This window comes from Homo sapiens, chromosome 1, assembly GCF_000001405.40.
Source record: "Homo sapiens chromosome 1, GRCh38.p14 Primary Assembly".
Lineage (NCBI taxonomy): Eukaryota > Metazoa > Chordata > Mammalia > Primates > Hominidae > Homo > Homo sapiens.
In genome coordinates, this window is record NC_000001.11 from 48,587,307 (window position 1) to 48,608,113 (window position 20,807).

The window sequence follows — 20,807 nt, forward strand, 5'->3', positions numbered from 1 at the left end:
GGACTGATTAAATAAACATAATTAATGACAGAAGCAAGCAGAGTTCTTGAGGTGCAGTAACTGCCACTCAACGAATATTTGTGGAAAAATGAATGGAGAGAGAGGGAGCAGGGAAAAGCAGACAGAGGAAAAAGAAGCAACTACATTTTGATGATAATCAGAACTAACATTTGGAGCCTGGCATGGTGGTGTGCACCTGTAGTCCCAGCTACTTGGGAGGCTGAGGTGGAAGGATTGCTTGAGCCTAGGAGTGTGAGTTCAGCCTAGGCAACATAGTGAGACCATGTCTCTATTCTTTTTATTATTATTATTTTATTTATTTTATTTTATTTTATTTTATTTTATTTATTTTTTGAGATGAAGTCTCGCTCTGTCACCCAGGCTGGAGTACAGTGGCGCGATCTTGGCTCACTGCAAGCTCCGTCTCCCTGGTTCATGCCATTCTCCTGCCTCAGCCTCCTGAGTAGCTGGGACTACAGGTGCCCACCACCACGACTGGCTAATTTTTTGTATTTTTAGCAGAGACAGGGTTTCACTGTGTTAGCCAGGATGGTCTCGATCTCCTGACCTCGTGATCCGCCTGCCTCAGCCTCCCAAAGTGCTGGGATGTCTCTATTCTTTAAAAAGAAAAAAAGTAAAACAAAACAAAAACAAAAATAAAACCCTAAAATTTGGGCAGTGCTTTCAATTGTATGATATTGTTTCCCATGCAGTATCTCATTTAGGCTTCAAAATAACCACTTGAAGTAGGTGTTCACATTTTATCTCTCTATAGATGAGGAAACTGAGGTTTCCTCTCTATAGATGAGGAATATGAGATTGCTCATAGAGGTGGAGCAAGTAAGTGATACAGCACAAATCTGAATCCAGAACTAAGTGACTCCAGACAACCAAAGAATCTACTTCCTTTAGGGATAGCTGATTCATGTCCAGAATCACTAGAGCATAGGGATCATGGCTGCTTCTTTACTAAGATGTTGACAGCACCCATCACAGTGGATAGAGAAATGAACAAGCATGTCACTCTCAAGTCCTCTGTTCAAAGACATGCTCTACTACCCACTGAGTACATGATGTCAGGCAAGTTGACTTACTTGTCTTAGTCTCAGTTTCCTCATTTGTAACTTGGAGGTGAAAATAATATCTCTTTCACAGAGTTGTGAGGGTCAGTTCACTTGGGGTTAGAAGGGCATTCTATGCTAACCCCTGGAAATTTAAGCAAATGAACAGACCATGGTTTTAATAAGAGAATACATGTCTTATTCGGCAGGAGATAAAGGAAGAAGGAAAAGAGATAAAGTAAACACCAATACAAGAAAGGCACAGAAAGACTGTGAAAGAAACAGAGAAGTGTGTGTGTGTGTGTGTGTGTGTGTGTCTATTTTAAGGTAAAGGAAAAATCAGAAAATCATAGAATGTCAGATCTGAAAGACCTTTGAAATCCATGTAGTAAACTCCAACTCTCCTGTTTTAGAGTTGGGCATTGAGGATCAGAGAAGAGAAGAGAAGAGAAGAGAAGAGAAGAGAAGAGAAGAGAAGAGAAGAGAAGAGAAGGGAAGAGAAGAGACAGCAATTGGACCAGGACAGATGACCTTGACTCCCACCCTTAAGGAGGCTGCAATGCAGAAACATCAGGCAAGCCCAGAAATAAGGCTGTCAGACTGTGCCCCTTTTGTAGTCCCTGGAAACTTCACCCACATGAGGAGGGTCTCTGAGGCCTATGACCCAGCCTTCCAGGGAACTTGGACTAAGGAGGCCACATTCTTTTCTGAAATTGCAGTGGTCTCAAATAGACAGGGCCATCCTATAGAGATTCTTACAGAAAAAGGTATGGCTGTTTCTGCCCCACAGCTGCAAATGGGGAGCTACCTGCTTTGATTCTATCATTAAATGCTGGGTGACCTTATGCTGAATACTCATCTTTTCTGGGGCCACTCTTTACTCTCAGGTGTAAAGAGGGGACTGGACTAAATAATCTGCCAATTCCTTTCCTGGTTTGACATTCAAAAGTTCTGGGATTCAGAGTGCATCTTAACACGCAGAGAAATTCATCATCTCCACTAATGTCCTGGCTTGAAGCAATGGGCAGGTGAGTTTTCAGCTCATCAACTTCAAAAATTGCTATGACCTTTGTGGGCCTCTGCCCCTCTGGCCACATGGAAATAACAGGCCCCAGAGATTTAGTATCAAAACAAAGGAAAATGTGCAAAAGCTCTCTCCCTACACCACATACTGATCCCCTCCTTATCTCCTCTTCCTGCCCTTTTCCAATATTGCTTTTGCTATGAGTTTTTCCCACCCCACAGCCTCTCTAGTTCTCAGCATGTGAGATTGGTAGTAACAGCAACCGTCTCTGGAGTTTGTTAAGGTCTTTACTGCCTGCAAAGAACTTTTATATCAAAAACTGCATTTGCCCTTCCAGGAAGCTATAATGCAGTGAGGATAGAAATTATCGTCCAGCAATTACAAAAAAATTGAGGCTGAGAAGGAGTCATGGAGAAAAGAATGGTGGGCATACAACCTCTGTTAGCAGATGTCTTGTGCTCATACAAAAGAACTGGGATTGGTAAAAGCAGACCCTGGGGAAAGGTCTGACATGTGGTAGGTGCTCAGTGAGCTTCCTTTTCTTGTTAATGCTGGAGTCAACTCCATTAAAGAAGGCCGGGAACAGTAGCTCATGCCTGTAATCCCAGCATTTTGGGAAGCTGAAGCAGGTGGATCACTTGAGCCCAGGAGTTTGAAACCAGCTTTGGCAACATAGCGAGACCCTGTCTCTACAAAATAAATAACTAAATTTTTAAAAATTAGCCAGTAGCGGCCAGGCGCGGTGGCTCACGCCTGTAATCCCAGCACATTGGGAGGCCGAGGCGGGCGGATCACCTGAGGTTGGGAGTTCGAGAGCAGCCAGACCAACATGGAGAAACCCCGTCTCTACTAAAAATGCAAAAAATTAGGCGGGTGTGGTGGCGCATGCCTGTAATCCCAGCTACTCGGGAGGCTGAGGCAGGAGAATCGCTTGAACCTGGGAGATGGAGGTTGCAGTGAGCCAAGATCATGCCATTGCACTCCAGCCTGGGCAATAAGAGTGAAACTCAGTCTCAAAAAAAAAAAAAAAAAAATTAGCCAGTAGCCCCAGCTACTCAGGAGGCTGAGGTGGGAGGATTACTTGATCTTGGGAGATAGAGGCTGCAGTGAGCCATGATCATACCACTGCACCCCGGCCTGAGTGACAGAGCGAGATCCTGTCTCAAAACAAAACAAAACAAAAACCCCAAAACAAAAACAAATGCCAGCTCATCAGCCAGCCAAAATGCTACCTTCTCAAAGAGTCTCCCACCCTGACTGGTGATGAGCAGCTTGAGGACATGGGCACATCTTGTTTACCTCTATCTTCATCACCCACACAATACCTAACACAGAGTTAGGTGTCCCGTGGAGCTTAAAGCAAACTGAACTGAGTGAGAAGGAAGACGGGGAGGCAGGGTGTGGGGGGCTGGGGCTGGCTGAGAGAGAACTCCTGGCTTACATAGGAGAAGTCCTCAGCATTCTGGCAGAGGAGCTTGGGAAAAATGGCCTGCCTCTGGAACCGTTCCTCATCCTCAAAGATGTTGCCATACATGAAGCCATTCATCATGGTGGAGTGGGCATGGATGTCAATATAAAACTCCAGGCTTGTTTTCTGTTGAGAGAAAGGATAACAAATGAGAAGTCTGGGCTGTAGAGCTTGTGTATAAGGGACCAGACACTACACTACACACACACACCCCCCACACACACCCACCCACCCCCCCCCACACACACACACACATCAAGCTGACCCTGTGTGTCAGCAGATTTAGCAGCCATTTGCAATGTGAGGGGAGGGTTTAAGACAGGTGACGACCAATTCCTCCTCACTTTTAACATGGTTTTCCCTCAGGGTCTGAAAGCACTACTATTAGCATCCCTTTTAAGAGGTCTTCAGAAAAAGTGAAATTTATTAGCTTGGGTTAAGTCATGATGTTACTTACTCAGAACAGCTAACACATTCATGACTAGACATTCGTGGAATTTATTTCTCTGATTAATGAGAAATACCTTCCAGGTAACACAATTGTATTTACTTTGGGCCTGGTTGCAGTTTTGCCCCAACTTGGCCATTTCTAGCTGGGAAGCTTGGTGTAAATCATGTCCCCACTTTGAGCCTCAGCTTTCTTATCTGAAAAACGAGTATTTTAATTCAAACCTCAGAGCATTATATCGGGAATCAAACACAGCAATAATAATTACTATATTTCTTGATGATGTAATATAAATAAAAAATAATAATTACTGTCTTACTGTATATATAATGCATGCCCAACAGCATTCTTGGAACTTTACATATAGAGTCTTAGTTAACTCTTTGAGTTAGCCTTGTGTCATGATGCCAGGTCTACCCCACAACAGCATATAAATAATGCATGAAGGAAAATGCCTTTGCAGTCTGTAAAGATGGCATTGACCAGTCTACCTCTGCTCTTTACTTACACATATTTAAGGCACTTTCTTGGTTCTTATGGTATTATTTGTTAGCCTTCCCTGAAGGTAGGAGGATTGTCTATAAAGAGCTCAGTGCCTGTAAGTAAAGGATGCTCAGTAACTACATGCAGAATGATTGAAGAAACAATCCCAGAGAGATTGCTCCACATACTGTAATGGACTGACTGAAACAGAGGGTGTCAGGGGTGGGGTGATTTTTAGACCATTAGATCTTCAATTGCCCTCAAATCCAATCTTCCCTTCTTATATATCAGCCCAGCTTATATCCATTAACCCTTTCTGAGAATAAGGGAAGACTCGCATGGGGAGGGGACTTGACCAAGCTCACAGAATAACGGGGACTGACACTCAGGCCTCCTGCCCCCTTGCACAATTAACTTATTGTCATCAATGGCCAACACTAGAAACAGCCAAGGCAAAATCTAGCCACCTCTCCATCCTCTTTCTAGTACATAGTCCTGGGAAAGAAGAAAAGTGCACATTTAGAAGGATTCTCCCTCCTTGGGATGCTTTTAAATGAAGTTAAAACCAAATGAAAACCATGTTGCTTCTAGAATGTGGGCTCAATGACTGTCATTTCATTTACCTCAGAGTTGGAGTGAAAAATTATGTCTTGCCAAGCTCCCAGTTCTCTGGGTAGCAAAAGCTGTCTTTTGGGAGATACAAGATGCACTGCTCTGTGTGATATTAAACTCATCATTTTCAGCTTTGGAGGTGGAATACACAATGATTCAACAGGAGCCCTATAAAAGTCATCTTCACAATTTTATTTTCTTCAATTGTCTGTCTTTTCCTGTGAGCTTTTGATGAGCTGCACAGGAAAGGAGGAGGTAGAAAGATGATTTAAGAAATGTGTAAGGAAAGCTACAGCTTATATCTCTCGATGTCAGAGCTAGAGAGGCCCTTGGAAACCAGTTTCTCTGACCTTTCTCAGACCTGCTCTGAGTGGGGAGGTTGCTTGCTTAAGGTTGGCCAGCAAGTTAGTGAAGAAGCAAGAATTAGAACCTAGCTTTTCTTTTACTTTTAAATTTTTTTGAAAAAAATTAAATTTAAAAAACTTATTCATATAAATTTATGGGCGTACAAGTGTAATTTTGTTACATTTTTCTGATAACCATATAGGTGTGGCTTCCACTGTCCCATCCTGACACCTGGCAGCTGATGTGACTTCACTTTAAAGAACCAGCACCTGAATTATGTTGATTGATCATATAATCTGAAAGTCAAATGATATAAAATAATTTATAGTAAAAAAATCTCCCTTCTACCAGTCACCCAGTTTTGCTCCCCAGAGACAGCTAATGCTATCAGGCTTGCATATATCTTCCCAGAGACAGTTTGTGCATATACAAGTAAATATTTCCTCTCACACCCAAACCCCCTGCTCCAAACACACAAGTGGTAGCACCATAAACACACCATTCAGATCTGCTGTTCTCTGAATATATCTTGGAGGCGATTCTTTCTTAATAAATAAAAAGTTACCTCATTCTTTGTGACAGCCATATATAAACTAACTAGTTACTTATTGATAAACATTTAATGTATTTCCAATCTTTTCTTGTTACAAAGAATGTCTTAGTGATGAAATTTGTATATATATTATTTCACACATACACAATTGTATGTAAAATAAATTCCTGGCTGGGTGCAGTGGCTCATGCCTGTAATCCCAGCACTTTGGGAGGCAAAGGCAGGCAGATCACGAAGTCAGGAGTTCGAGACCATCCTGGCCAACACAGTGAAACCCCATCTCTACTAAAAATACAAAAAATTAGCTGGGCAGGGTGGTGGGTGCCTATAATCCCAGCTACTCAGGAGGCTGAGGCAGGAGACCCGCTTGAACCCAGGAGGTGGAGGGTGCAGTGAGCCGAGATCACGCCATTGCACTCCAGCCTGGGCGACAGTGCGAGACTCCGTCTCAAAAAAATAAATAAATAAATAAAATAAAATAATAAATTCCTAGAAGTGAAATTCCCAGATCCTATGTGCATTTGCATTTCTGATTTATATTGACAGACTGACCTTAGAAAGGCAGAACACCCCTAGCCTATTACCTTGACAATATAGGTGGAATAAAACTTTTTGATATTTGCCAATTTGATGGGTGAAAAGCAATATGTAAGATTAGTTTTAATCTGAATTTCTCTTAGTACTGTATAATTATCTTTTACTGTATAGTTAAGAATCTTTTCATATGTTTAAAGATGATTTGCAGCCGGGCATGGTGGCTCCCGCCTGTAATCCCAGCACTTTGGGAGGCTGAGGTGGGTGGATCACCTGAGGTAAGGAGTTCAAGACCAGCCTAGCCAACATGGTGAAACACCGTCTCTACTAAAAATACAAAAAAATTAGCTGTGGTGGTGGGCACCTGTAATCCTAGCTACTCGGGAGGCTGAGGCAGGAGAATTACTTGAACCCTGGGCGCAGATGTTGCAGTGAGCTGAGATCGCACCATTGCACTCTGGCCTGGGCAACAAGAGTGAAACTCCATCTCAATAAATAAATAAATAAATAATAAAATAAATCAATAAAAGTAATTTGCATTCTCTTTTCTAAGAACTCTGTTCATTTCCTTTGACCATTTAAAAAATCGGATTGTTGGGCTTTATTTCTTATTGACTTAGAGAAGCTATGTATTATAGAAATTAACCTTTATGTGTAATATAAAGATACTTTTGTCATTTGTCTTTCTATTTTACTTCTGTTCATGTATTTTTCATGTAGAAATTTTTAAATTTCTGATTTTTGACACAGTTTATCCATCTTTTCTTTTGTGGTTTCCTAGCTGAATTATTTTACTGTTGCTTCCATTTTATTATTTTGTTGTTTAGTTTTCAATGTTTTGTTTCAGTTTCAATTTATATGGTCATGGAATGTGAGGTAAGGGTTAAATTTCACTGTTTCAACACCATTTATTGAATTGTGCATCTCTTCCCCACTGACATTTCTATCCCCCTTGCCATTTGGTTGGGATCAAATGGAATGTGGGCAATGACAATAACTTCCAGACCTGCCCATAAAACTCCTCGTACACAATCACCCACATTCTCTCTTGCCCTTCTGCATGGGTAGCTACACGTAAAAAAATGATGATATCCTAAGAAGAAAGAAGCCTATATCCTCGACTCAACACTTAGAGGACAACAGCCAGGAGAGTCACCTGCTCCGCATCAGACTGATGTAAGAGAGAAGTGAATCTTCACTGAATTAAGCCACTGAAATTTGGGGATTGTTTATTATAGAAGCTAATATCATTCATCTTGACTAGTACAAAATCTCAATTCAAAAAGCCTTATTTTATCCCTCAGGCTGAGTTAACAGCCTCCTCTGCGCTCTTATAATTCAAGGTACAGATCTCTCTCATGGCACTTACTACATGAGATGATAATCTTTTATTTTCATTTCCCTCCAGAATGTGAGCTCTTTGAGGGCAAGGATCTTATATTGCTGATTTTTTTCAATCCACAGGACCAGAACACGGCCTGGTATATAGTAGGTCATCATTAAAGGTTTACAAAGGAATGAATAAGAAAATGAACTGAAGGAAGGATAAGTGAATTAATGAGTAAACAAATGCATCTTAAGTTGTTCCAACAGTAAAACCAGGTACTTTTCTGTGGCTGTGCCGGGCCAAGGGGTGTGTGTCACAAATGTAGGGCCCTGAATTACAATTTGGGAATGAGAATAGAAGGTGGGGGATGGGGAGAGCATCTCCGTTCTTTCCTTCCAAACTTAAGGACCTTAATTAAAACAGAATGATGAAGGGCTGTCCCCTTGCCAGCAGCCAGCAGCTCCTCTTGCAATCAGGGGCCTAAAGAGTAAATTAAAATCAGTGCCAATAAAATTAAAACTACTTTGGGGCATATTTGCAACATAATTTAGTGTGGAGTTTGCTTCCACCTAGACACCAGGGAGGAAATGGGTTTTCTTTCTCTATTCTGAGCTGCTACCCTGCTTCATCTCACTTGGCACAGGCCAAAACCTGAGCTTGGTGCTCTGATGTGGGGCCGTATCCTTCACATTTCGGCAGCACTTCGGAGTTTATCACAAATTCAGTTCAGTGAAGGAAGGACCATCCAGGGCAATCCAATCTAGGAAGGACAGAGGAGTTTTATCTCAGGTTTGGAGACGCCATGGGGAAGAAACTGAAGCTTAGGCAGGAATAACCGCAAGTTGAGCAGGGTGAGCTTTGTTATTATTTCTGTTTTACAGAGGAGGAAATGGAAGCTCAGAAAGCTCAAGTAACTTGCCCAGCATTACGCAGCAAGATGTGGCAGAGTCGGGACTGAAACCCAGGCCTCTGGCTATAAACTCTCCATGTCCTGTACCCTGCTGTCCTCACAGGAGCTTGCAGCCTAGCAAAGCAATTACTTGATTATAGTAAGGCAAGCCCCATGCAGGTTCCTTCAGCTCTGAGCTGAAGGATTGTGGGGATCTGTGACTGAGATTATTGTCCTTAGACTCTCAAAAAGGCATTGAGGTATGTGTGTGGGAGGAGCAAGAAGTGTTGGAGAACTCCCAGACACATTCCTCCTTCAGATTTACCCCAGGAAGATGTTTTCCCCTGGGACTGAGACAAAAAAGCCCCAAATCTATTCTTTTCATTATTAACTAAAATGTCTCCCTGTCTGTTTTTTAAGGAATGAAAGCTATTTCTGTGTTCTAAGGCAGGAAGGAAAAATTTTCAGAAAAATTGAGGACTCTTTCTTTAATATCAACCAAGCAAATCAAATAAACAAAATAATGCAAAGGTTCTTTATCATTCATACTGTATATTTATTTAAAAAATTTTTTTTGTAGAGACAAGGTTTGCTATATTGCCCAGTATAGTCTGGAACTCCTGGGCTCAAGCAATTCTCCTGCCTCAGGCTCCCAAAGTGCTGGGTTTATAGGTGTAAGTCACTGTGCCCAGCCCATAGCATATACATATATATATTTCTGAAGTGGCACAGTGAAGGCTTTCTTCCTCAGATATGTCCTGAACATGGCTGGGCAGAAATTCCTGCCACAAAAAAAGGGATATAATAAGTCAAGGGGACAAAGAAAGGAACAACCACGTAAGAAATCCAGACAGCCAGCTCAAGGAACCAAGGGGATGGGCCACGGGCACTTCACCTCCTGCCTCTCTCCATCCTACACTCTGGCCTTCTAGAACCGCCGTAACTTCCCAAGCACACTGGTGTTCTCGTACTCTGGGCTTTTGTGTCTATTCCTCCAGGTGAGAATGCTTATCCTCTTCCTTTCACCTTCTGGCAACATCTTGTTCACCTTTTACTGCTTATCCCAAATGGGCCCTTGACAGAGAGGTCTTCCTGGACGCTCTCAGGGATAGCAGCTCCCTTCCCTGGAATCTCACAGATTTAAAAAAAATATCCTTCTGTTAAGGTATTTATCATCTAGCTTATTCATTCATCCATTCATCTGGCAAATATCTACTGTGAACCTACTATGTTCCTGGTGCTATCATAGGACTTCAGGGTGAACAAAACAGATAAGATTCCTGCCTTTAAGTAGCTAACACCCAGGTGGGGTTTACAAACTATAAACATCAGATAAGCAAGGTAATTGCAGATTGTGAAACATGCTAGAAATGCACTAGGATAAATAACATGATGGTGAATAACACAGTGGATGGGGGGAAAGTCTACTTTAGGTAGTGTGATCAGGGAAGGCCTCTGACATTTGAATTAAGCCTCAAAAGATGATAAGAACCAGCCATTCAGCCAGGTGTGGTGGCATGCACCTGTCAAGCAAGAATACTCTTCCTGGCAAAATTGTCTTTCAAAAAGGAAATGGAGATAAAGATTTTCCTGTACAAACAGAAGAGAACAGGGAGAAGGAGAGGGAAAGGAAAGGGGAGAGGAGAGGAGGGGAGGGGAGGAGAGAGGAGGGAAGGGGAGGGGAGGGGAGGGGAGACAGAAAAGGAAAGAAAGAAAAGGAAGAAAGGGTGGAAGGAAGGAAGGGAAGAAAGAGAAAGAAAGAGAGAGAAAGAAAGAGAAAGAGAGAAAAAGAAAGGAAGGAAGGAAAGAAAAGAAAGGAGAAAGAAAGAAAAAAAGAAAGAGGGAGGGAGGGAAGGAGGAAGGAAGGAAGGAAGAAAAAGAAAAAGAAAGAAAGAGAGAAAGAAAGGGAGAAAAACCAGACATTCAAAGAAGTCAGCCAAAGAATCCTGGGCAAAACAAAGGCCCTAAAGCAAGGATGAGTGTATTGTTTTCAAAAACCAAAGGGAAGGCCAGTAGCCAGATTGTGACAAACACTGGAGCTAAGCCTGGACAGGTTTGCAGGGTCCAGATCACACAGGGCCTTGAAGGCCAGGGTTAGAATTTGGAGTTTATCCTATGTACAGTAGAAAGACATTTTAACAGGGGAATACTGAAAAACATACCTTGCCTATCATGTAGATAATGGATTTTAGGGGGGCATGAATGAGGCAGTTGAGACAGTTCCCCTAAGCAATCACAGTACAGTCATGCAACACTTACTGATGGAGATAAATTCTGAGAAATGCATCACTAGGTTATTTCATCATTGTGTGACCATCATAGAGTGTACTTACACTAACCTAGATGCTATAGCCTACTACACACCTAGGGTATATGGTTATAGCCTATGGCTCTTAGGTTACAAACCTGTACAGCATATGACTGTTTTAAAATAAATTTAATGAGGCCAGGCATGGTGGCTCACACCTGTAATCCCGGCACTTTAGGAGGCCAAGGCAGGCGGATCAATTGAGGTCAGGAATTCAAGACCAGCCTGACCTACATGGGGAACGCCTGTCTCTACTGAAAACATGAAAATTAGCTGGGCATAATGGTGCACACCTGTAATCTTAGCTACTCAGGAGGCTGAGGCAGGAGAATCACCTGAACCTGGAGGTGGAGGTTGCAGTGCATTGGCACAATCTCGGCTCACTGGGATTACAGGTGTCAGCCACCACGCCTGGCCTCATTAAATTTATTTTAAAACATTTTAGTTCTTCAATAATAAATCAACCTTAGCTTACTGGGACTTTTTTACTTTATAAACTTTTAATTTTTTAAACTTTTTGACTCTTGTAATAACACTTAGCTTAAAACACAAACACATTATACAGCTGCACAAAAATATTTTCTTCCTTTATTACTCCATAAGCTTTTTTTTCTAGTTATAAATTATGGGTTTTTTTAATTTTTAAACATTTTTTGTTGAAAACTAAGGCACAAACACAAACATGAGCCGAGAGCTACATAGGATCAAGATCATCAACATCGCTGTCTTCCACCTCCACATCTTATCACACTGGAAGGTCTTCAGGGACAATAACATGCATGAAGCTGTCATCTCCTATGATAACAATCCCTTCTCGTGGAACACTTCCTGAAGGACTTGTTGAGACTTTTTAGAGTTAACTTTTTGTTTTAAGTAGAAGTACACTCTAAAATAACAATAAAAAGTATAGTATAGAAAATACATAAACCAGTAACATAGTTACGTATTATTATTAAGTGTTATGTATTATACATAATTGCATTTCCACCTTTGTATATGACTGGCAGCACAGCAGGTTGGTTTACCCCAGCATCACTACAAACACGTGAATGAGTAATGCATTCCCCTAGGCCTTACAACAGCTGTGATGTCACCAGGTGACAGGAATTTTTCAAGTTCATCATAATCTTATGGGACCACCATTGTACATGTGGTCTGATGCTGAAATGTCATTATGCAGTGCTTAACTACAGCTTAAGTAAGAGAGGTGGTGGTAGAGGTGAGAAGGCATATTTAATAAATATTGTGGCCACATCTCCATAGAACCTGCACATAGATTACATGTGGGAAGAATCAAAGGTTTATGACTTGAACACTAAGTAGATGGTGGTTTCATGTACAGAAATGGAGAAGACTGGGTTGGAGCCCAGCTGGGATAGTGGTTAGGAAATTGAGAGTTCTGATAGGCTCTTCACAGTTTGAAATGACCACTGAATGCAAGACAGGAAGTGTCAAGTAGGCAGTTGAATTCATGAAAGAAGAACCCTGGGGGAGAGGACTGGACTGAAGGTATAAATATAGGAATCATTATCATTGAGGTGTGTGTAACACCTCTGGGAGAAAGCGTGGACCGAGAGGAGGTCCTGGGACTGAGTCTGGAGGCCTCTAAAGTTGAAAGTTTAGCTAAAAGAGAAGGAAAGGAGACCGTGGAGTGGTCAGAGAAGAAAGAAGGTGAAAGAATACAAGGAAAGTGTGGTTTTATGAAAACCATGAACAACAACAGAAAAAAAATTAAGAAGGAGGGTGTGGCCTGTGAATCCTTCGAAGCCTAGAACTGCATCTGGTTCACTTCCATATCCACAAGGTATATCATAGGGCCTGACACACAGTAAGTACTCAGGCAACAATTGCCAAGTGACTAAATGAATAAATAAATGAATGGGCCAGCTATCTTAGACTCAGAGAAAGGGGTATAGGGGTGTGGGAAGTTCCCAGGGCCTAGATCCTATCTGGAAGAGCTATGGGGGAGGATAATAATAACAACATAGCCCTTACTTTATGCCAGGGGCAGGCACTCATTAATCCTCCCACAACCTTATCAGATAGAAACATCATTTACAAACAAGAACACTCAGGAATAGGGTGGTTGTGTGGGAACCCGAGATCACACAGTGGTAACTGGCAGAGCCCAAGCAGTCTGGCTCTGCAATCCATGCACTTAAACATGACACCATAAAAGCTGTTGATATTTATGCAGTACTTCTTAAGTATGGTTCTGTAATTATAACAATCCTATAAGGGTAATAACATCATATAAGGAAACCAAGGCAAAGAGCTTGCAAGTGGTAGATCTTAGATTCAAAACCAAGTGTTTCTGACCTGGGGCTAAGCTCTATTCAGAATAGCCCAGCCCTGTATTTGTGGCCTCCTTGACCTCAGCAGAATATATTTCAGGATTATTCTGAGACTAATGCTTAGGTGTGGAGAAAATGCATCAGAAGCAGCAAGATGAGAAATAAAAACGTATTTTTTTTCTACTTCTAATTAGTCTCTTACAATCTGACTCTACTTGCACATAAATGGAGGCATTTCTGCATCTCCTAGAGATCCAGGAAGAGCCAGGTCTGGCCTGGCAGGAAGGAGCCTTCCTTTGCTTCCATTCCCTTTCTCCACGTCTATGCCTGGAAACAGAGAGAGATGAGAGGCTCAGCCCAGGAGGTTTGGGTTTATAATAGACCTTCCCAGGGCAAATGATGAACTCCTGACCTCTGCCTCCTGCTCCCTTCAGTGACTGGTGATAGCCATAATGACTATGATAATGATAATGGTGATAAAAGGGTACTCATGAGAGTAGTGTGGTTTGGGGGTCTGGTAGACTTGGCTTCAAGTGTTAGTTTCACCATGGTTGAGCTTTAAGACCTGTAGAATTCACTTTCCCTCCCTGAGTTTCAGTTTAATCACTTGAAATTTGAAGATAACAATCACAAATTCACACACTGTCATAGAGGTAAATGAAGTAACTGGCTTTGTGCCTACCAAAATGTGTGACAGCTTATACACTGTCAATATATTCTTTTGAATCACACAATGACACTATGTGTAGGTGCTGTGCTTGGCACTGGGGATATGGACCTCCTGGAGCTCAAAACCTTGTGAAGAAGAAAGACATTTTACAAGTAACTTTCTGTGCAATGAGGAATGTGAAGAAGTGCGAGTACTATGGTAGCATAGAGTTAAGAGGAGCTTGGGGACAAGCTTACATATATGTACATTTCTTCCTTGTTCAATATGAAATCTATTGACAATAACCACCATCTTGCACATTTATACAGTTATAAACCATTTTCACACCAATCATTTGATTCTTTCAACACTCCATGGAAGTAGATAGGATTATGATCTTAGTTTCTCAGAAGAAGCTCAGAGCCTGGCTTATCAAGATCTCACAACAAATTATGAGTTGAGATGGGATTCGAGCTTACATCTCACCACTCCAAAACCTCTGCTTGATCCTCAACTTGGGAAGTCATCCTATGTGCTCAGTTCTGTATTGAAAGTGCACACAGATACAAGTAGAAAAGCCAGGCCTTCCCTCAGAAAGCCCCAGTCTGAGCAGGAAAACAAGACAAAAAAATCAGGGAGCTCTCAACTAAGAAGAGGACTGAGATACAATTTTTAAGGCTGTGAGAGCTGAGGAACATTTTAATTTGATAATTAAAAGTTAATGTTGCTTCCTTATAAATCAAAGGCTGATAAAACTAGGGCACCCTCAGGCACATATTTAGGAACTCAGTAAATAGTTGTGGCCTGAATGCTTGGGGACACCTATCTCAGGAGATTGCTAGCTGGCTCATAGAGGTAATGATACATGTCTAACCACTCAGCTGCAGGGACAGGAGTCCTTGGTCTATGCCAGGATTTTTCTTCCTAGGAAACTCATCTTGGCTCTCTACTAAGCTGCTACGTGACCCTGGAGAAGTCCTTCTCTCTCTCTGGACTTCAATTTCCCCACTTAGAGGACGGATTCAGTGACTTCTCAGGGCTCTTTCCACCATTATATCCTGAGTCTTATATCCTTCCAAAATCTCATCTTCCTGCTTTGCAGTATTCCTGTTGTTGTTGTTTTCTCTTTCATTTGGCCTCTAATTGAGGACAGATCTTGTCAGTCTTTCTACCTTATCTCCTTCAAGACACAAGTGCAAGGTCATTTTCCTTGGCATGGCCCTGTGGGGAGAGCCTGCTGCGAGACAGCAGTTCAATCATTCCCCTACGCTAATGCAGTCTTTCCACTTGGCAGAGTGCACATCACTACTTTTCAAAGAAGTGTTCGAGGGTGCCAACATTCATGCTGAAATTATGTACTTTATCCTAGGGAAAAATAAAATGGTTCCTATCTGCTTTATTTGGTGTAGGCAGCTGGAAGAGCGAAAACAGGAAGAAGAAAGGTACAGGCAGGCACTTGGCATCTCTCCCTTCATTCTTTCTTCCTCTTTCTTCTCTAACTCTCTCATCTTGCCCCTTTTCTCTTCTCCCTCTTCATTCCTTTTCTTCTTCTGTTCCCCCTTTCCCACCTCTCTCTTTCTTCACTTTATAGTAGGGAAGGCAGACAAGGGAACAGTTTAAATGTACATATGCCTTTCAGGTGCTGTAAGAGACATAAGTGAAGACTGGGTGAAAGTATGGCTGAAGGAACCATTCAATTAGTGGTGGTCAGGAAAGACTTTACAGAGGAGGTGACTATTAAGCAAGGTCTTGACAGATGAGAAGGTGTTCACCAAGGGAATAAGGAAAGGACCCTCCAGTGGAGAGAAAGACAGTGTAGGCAGAGGGAGCCTGTGGGCAAAAGCCCCAAGCCTAAAACCACTAGCCCATTGAGGGAACAATACATTGGGGCCCAGCGCAGTGGCTCATGCCTGTAATCCCAGCTCTTTGGGAAGCTGAGGCAGGTGGATCATGAGGTCAGGAGGTCGAGACAATCCTGGTCAACATGGTGAAACCCTGGCTCTACTAAAAATACAAAAATTAGCTGAGTGTGGTAGTGCATGCCTGTAATCCCAGCTACTGGGAAGGCTGAGGCAGGAGAATTGCTTGAACCAGGGAGTCAAAGAATGCAGTGAGCCGAGATTGCGCCACAGCACTCCAGCCTCGCAACAGAGCAAGACTCCGTTTCAAAATAAAATAAATTAAAGTGTTTAGCACAGTTGAAGAGCAGGGGAGGGGACACAGAGGGGGGTGAGGAAACAGACTAGAGAGGCTTCCAAAGACCCTTACATGGAAGGCCTTGTAAGTCACTAAGGAGTCATGAATTTTCCCTATAAAACGGAAATAGAGAGCCACAGAAGTGTTTTATGAAATTATAACAGGATTACATTTACATTTTAGCAAGATTGTTCTGGAGGCTGTGACGAGAATTAGTGGTCATAAGACTCAAAGGCAGGTAGACTAGTTAGAACATTTTTGTTATAATCCAAGTGAGAACTAATTTAAAAATGATAAGGTCCTCAATTAAAGCAAGGGCTAGCTAGGACTGAGCGCGGTAGCTCATGCCTGTAATCCCAGCACTTTGGGAGACCGAGGTAGGTGGATCACCTGAGGTCAGGAGTTTGAGACCAGCCTGGGCAAAACACTGTCTCTACTAAGAAAAACAACAAAACAACAACAACAACAACAACAACAAAAACCAAAAATTAGCTGGGCATGGTGGCACGCCTGTAATCTCAGCAACCTGGGAGGCTGAGGCACGAGAATTGCTTGAACCCAGGAGACGGAGGTTGCAGTGAGCCGAGTTGGCACCACCGCACTACAGCCTGGGCTACGGAGCGAGACTTCATCTCAAAACAAAACAAAACAAAACAAAACAAAACAAAACACAAAGCAAGGCCTGGGAGGATGTGAAGAAGCATCCAAACATGAGACCCACTACAAAGCAAGATTGACAGTTTGCAATATGGGACCTAAGTTTGGACTGATTCCCAGGTTTCTGGATTGAGGGGGGGCATCCACTGAGATTGGAGATGTCACCATCTTATAAGTTTGAGCTGTATGTTTGCCTCCTTGGTACGTGTTCCCAGTTAGAGTGAGATGCTATCAGATGTGCTATGGTTATGATATTTTGATCCAAACAAGTTGATTTTTTCTAAATATGGCTATTTGAATGAAAAGAACGTTTCCCCCATGTAATCATGTGTTTTCCGTATAAATAGAACTCTTTATTAATATAAATTAAGCATAAGTGACTACAGAGGAGGTCTACCAAAAAAAAAAGTTAAGTATAAGCATTGCACACTTTTGTTAGGATACAGAATCAAAGGTTTTTTTTTAAAAAAAATTCAAACACTTACATACACATAATCAAATACTTAGGCCCTCTATTACAATGTAAATGGGATACTGGCGGGCTTTTCTGTAGCTATTGCTCTGCTATAGACATTCACTCCCTCCAAAGAGAGGACTTTTGATTTTTATGAACTGCTTCACTTAGCCAGAAAGCAGCAAGGAGTGAGGGAGTGGTTGTGAGAGTTAAGCAAGGGTTGGACAAGGAGGTGTGGGTAACAAACAAGCTTTATGTCTTGGATTGAAGGGAAGTCCCACAACAATGCAAGCCCCTTCATCCATATCTACATAAAAACCTTCATCAAAATTAGACAGAATGAATTTGTGTCTTTTCTGGCTCTTTGAATTGTTTGGAGTTTTGCTCTCCTAGCCCCTTTCCTTTGACACATGAAATACTATCAACAACCTACACAACTTGTTTATAGTCATTATCTCATTCTTAATGTACCTGTTTTACAGATGAATGCATTGCTTAAGTTTACACAGCTAGTAAGCGTCAGAGCCAAGGATAAAATCTAGATCTATCCATAATACAAGTTCTTACCACTCTATCACTCTGTCTTGATTCCTTTATCTTTGGGTTTGTCATGGGGAGCCAAGAGCATGAATTATTGGTAGGCAAGGAATATATTTTCCACATGTGAATATCAGGTCCTCAAGAATCTGCCTTCGTCCCCAACCTCATTTCCTACTCTCTGCTGATAGGCAATCTATGCTTTCTCCATGCCAAATTGAGAGCTTCCAGACTGTGTGATGCTCCTCTGTGCCCTCCAAGGCTTTGCTCATTTTGTTCCCTCAGGCAGGAACACCTTGCCCTGCCCAGCCTTCCTCCAGGACCCAATATAAGCATCCCTTCCTCTAAAGGCTTCCCTACGCCATGTCCTTCTTCACGTCTATTGTCACTCAACCCTTCTTTTTTATTGTACCTATTTCACTGTTTCATTATTATTGCTTTGTGTCTCTATTTCTCCCACTGGACCAAGCACTCCTCAGGACCTGAAATCACATTGTCTTCATTTTAATAGGTCCAACATCTAGCGCAGTGTCTGGCACATAGTAGGTGCTAAGGAAATCCTTATTGAATGAATAGATGGATGAACTAATGATGGAGAAGATATTATCTTTGAGCAGAGACTCTCTCCATCCTTTATCTTCTCTGAGAAATGCTATTGTTTAACAGGGAGAGAGAAAGGCAGACCTCAAAGTGATACAACGGGTAAAAAATTCTTCCCTATTCTCTGGGTTCTTTCTCTTTTTTTCTTCTTCTTGCTATTGGAACAAAAATAAAGAGTACATCATAAGCAAAGCTGTATTTTCTGTTTATTGCCACCAGGTTAATAACAGTAATGGTGTGAGAAGAAAATGAGGTGTTACGTAAAACCCCGCATTGCAGATTTTGCTGCTGATGTAAAGAACTCAATAAAGTGTAACACTTTAATCATGGAGATAAAAATCACACAGCAACTTCCCACAGGCTTTCAGAGCCTTAAGACAAAATAGTTGTGGGGAAATGAGAGATGAGAGAAGAATATTATCAGGCATCAGAAAAGTTGTGCTTGGGCTTTTTTTTTTTCCTTCTCTAAAAAATGGAATAAGCTTTTTATATCTACTTCCAAGACACCTTGCATGAATTTCTGTATTCTCTGGAGGACATGCTCAAACTTCTGGAGGAGGATTTGCTCATTCTTTGTAAAAATGGATTTGTTTACAGAGAACTAAAATTCCTGTCTCTTAGTTGACTTCATGGCATTTTAGGAAAACAGAGGCAGTCTCTAAAAATGAAAGAAGGATTTAGATGGAGGTAAAGAGGCTGGTGATAATAAAGTCTCGGTTTCTATGATGGTCTGGAATTCAGGAAAAACATCATAGTAGAAGATGGGAACTCTTGTGCCAACTCTGACACTTTGGAGAAATCACCTTCTTGCCTCTGTTCCTCAGTTTCATCATTCTTCAAAAAAGGATCTCCAAAGGGATGCACTACATGATCTCCAAAGGGATTCCAGATCTGACACTCCATAGTCTGTGAGGCTCCCAGCAAGAAGGCCAGTTGGTGGTTTAGCTCTTGGCATTTGCTGTTGTGGTTCTGGACTACTGCAGTAGGCTCCCAGCTGGCCTCTCTGTTTCTACTCAAAATACCTCCTTCCTTTCCCCATCACCTAAATCCATTTTCCATCCTGCAGCCAGAGTGATCTATGAATAACAAGAGGAAACTATGCATACACCCTGGAAACTATATGTGCACTGCTGTAAGATGGCACGAGGAGGGGTCATGCAGAGAAGGGGTCTAAGATTAGAGATCTGGGCTCAAACACTGAACTGTCTGTGTGACTTTAAAGGAGTTACTTTATGTCTCCAATTCTCAGTTTCTTTACCAGTCAAAAGAAGGTTACAATGAGATCACTCATGTCACCAAGCTGACATGGGTTAAATGAGCTAGTGCATGTCCAAGTGCCTGAAACATAGGAGGTGTTCAGTAATCTTTTTCATACCATAATAATTATTTCAGGTGTAATTAAAAATGAGGGCATATTCTAGGGCTGTGCTGTATAAGTAGTCATTTGTGACTACTTAAATTTAAATTAATTAAAATTAACTTAAAAAATATAGTTCCTTTGTCCTACTAGCCACATTGTAGGTGCTCAACAGCCACTGTGATAGACAACGCAAAGGAAATCTAACACCATCATAGAAAGTCTATTGAGCAGGCCAGGTGCGGTAGTTCACTCCTGTAATCCCAGCACTTTGGGAGGCTGAGGCGGGCGGATCACCTGAGTTCAGGAGTTCAAAACCATCCTGCCCATCATGATGAAATCCCATTTCTACTAAATATACAAAAATTAGCCAGGTGTGGTGGTGTGCGCCTGTAATCCCAGCTCCTCAGGAGGCTGAGGCAGGAGAATCGCTTGAATCCAGGAAGCAGAGGTTGTGGTGAGCTGAGATTGCGCCATTGCACTCCAGCCTGGGTGACAAGTGCAAGACTCCATCCCCCCACCCCCAGAAAAAAAGAGAAAGTCTGTTGAACGGCACCATTCTAGTATCTTAGCCATCATAAACAGTGGATTCAAATGTAAAGCATATATCCATATACAACTATGCTTACACAAACACATCTACTTTTATACACACAAACTCACACTTGCATACAAAACCACAAAACAGGGTGTTAAGGAAAAATAATCTAAGTCCTGACTCCGAGTCAATCCATCAAGCATACAAAAAATCAGGTCCTGTGTAAAACAGCTCACATTGGACATCATTTAATCCTTATGACAACTTTAGTAGGAGGTATTATCCTCATTTTGCTGATTCTGACATTGAAACTCAGAGTGGTTGAATAACTTGATTGAAGTCACAAAGCTTCTAAGTGGCAGAACAGGACTTATTCCCCACGATAAAATACTGCTTCTGAAGGGGCATTTCAGAAGACAAGGGGCTCAGAGGACAAAGTCATCACAAACTCTTTACAATCTTTGTTCAAGATG

The 20,807-nt window shown here is 41.9% G+C and overlaps 1 protein-coding gene across 8 annotated transcripts in view; it reads right to left on the bottom strand.

The window, feature by feature from the left end:
* AGBL4 (AGBL carboxypeptidase 4) overlaps nt 1–20,807 on the bottom strand; it is a 1,501,444-nt gene that overhangs the window by 64,796 nt on the left and 1,415,841 nt on the right. For all 8 annotated transcript variants that reach the window (NR_136623.2, XM_017002595.3, NM_001323575.2 and 5 more), the window contains one exon: nt 3,527–3,679. Coding sequence is in view for 7 of the 8 variants with exons in the window: in XM_017002595.3 (XP_016858084.1) it covers nt 3,527–3,679 (153 nt within the window). In the remaining variant the exon portion in view is untranslated. The remainder of the gene's footprint in view (nt 1–3,526; nt 3,680–20,807) is intronic.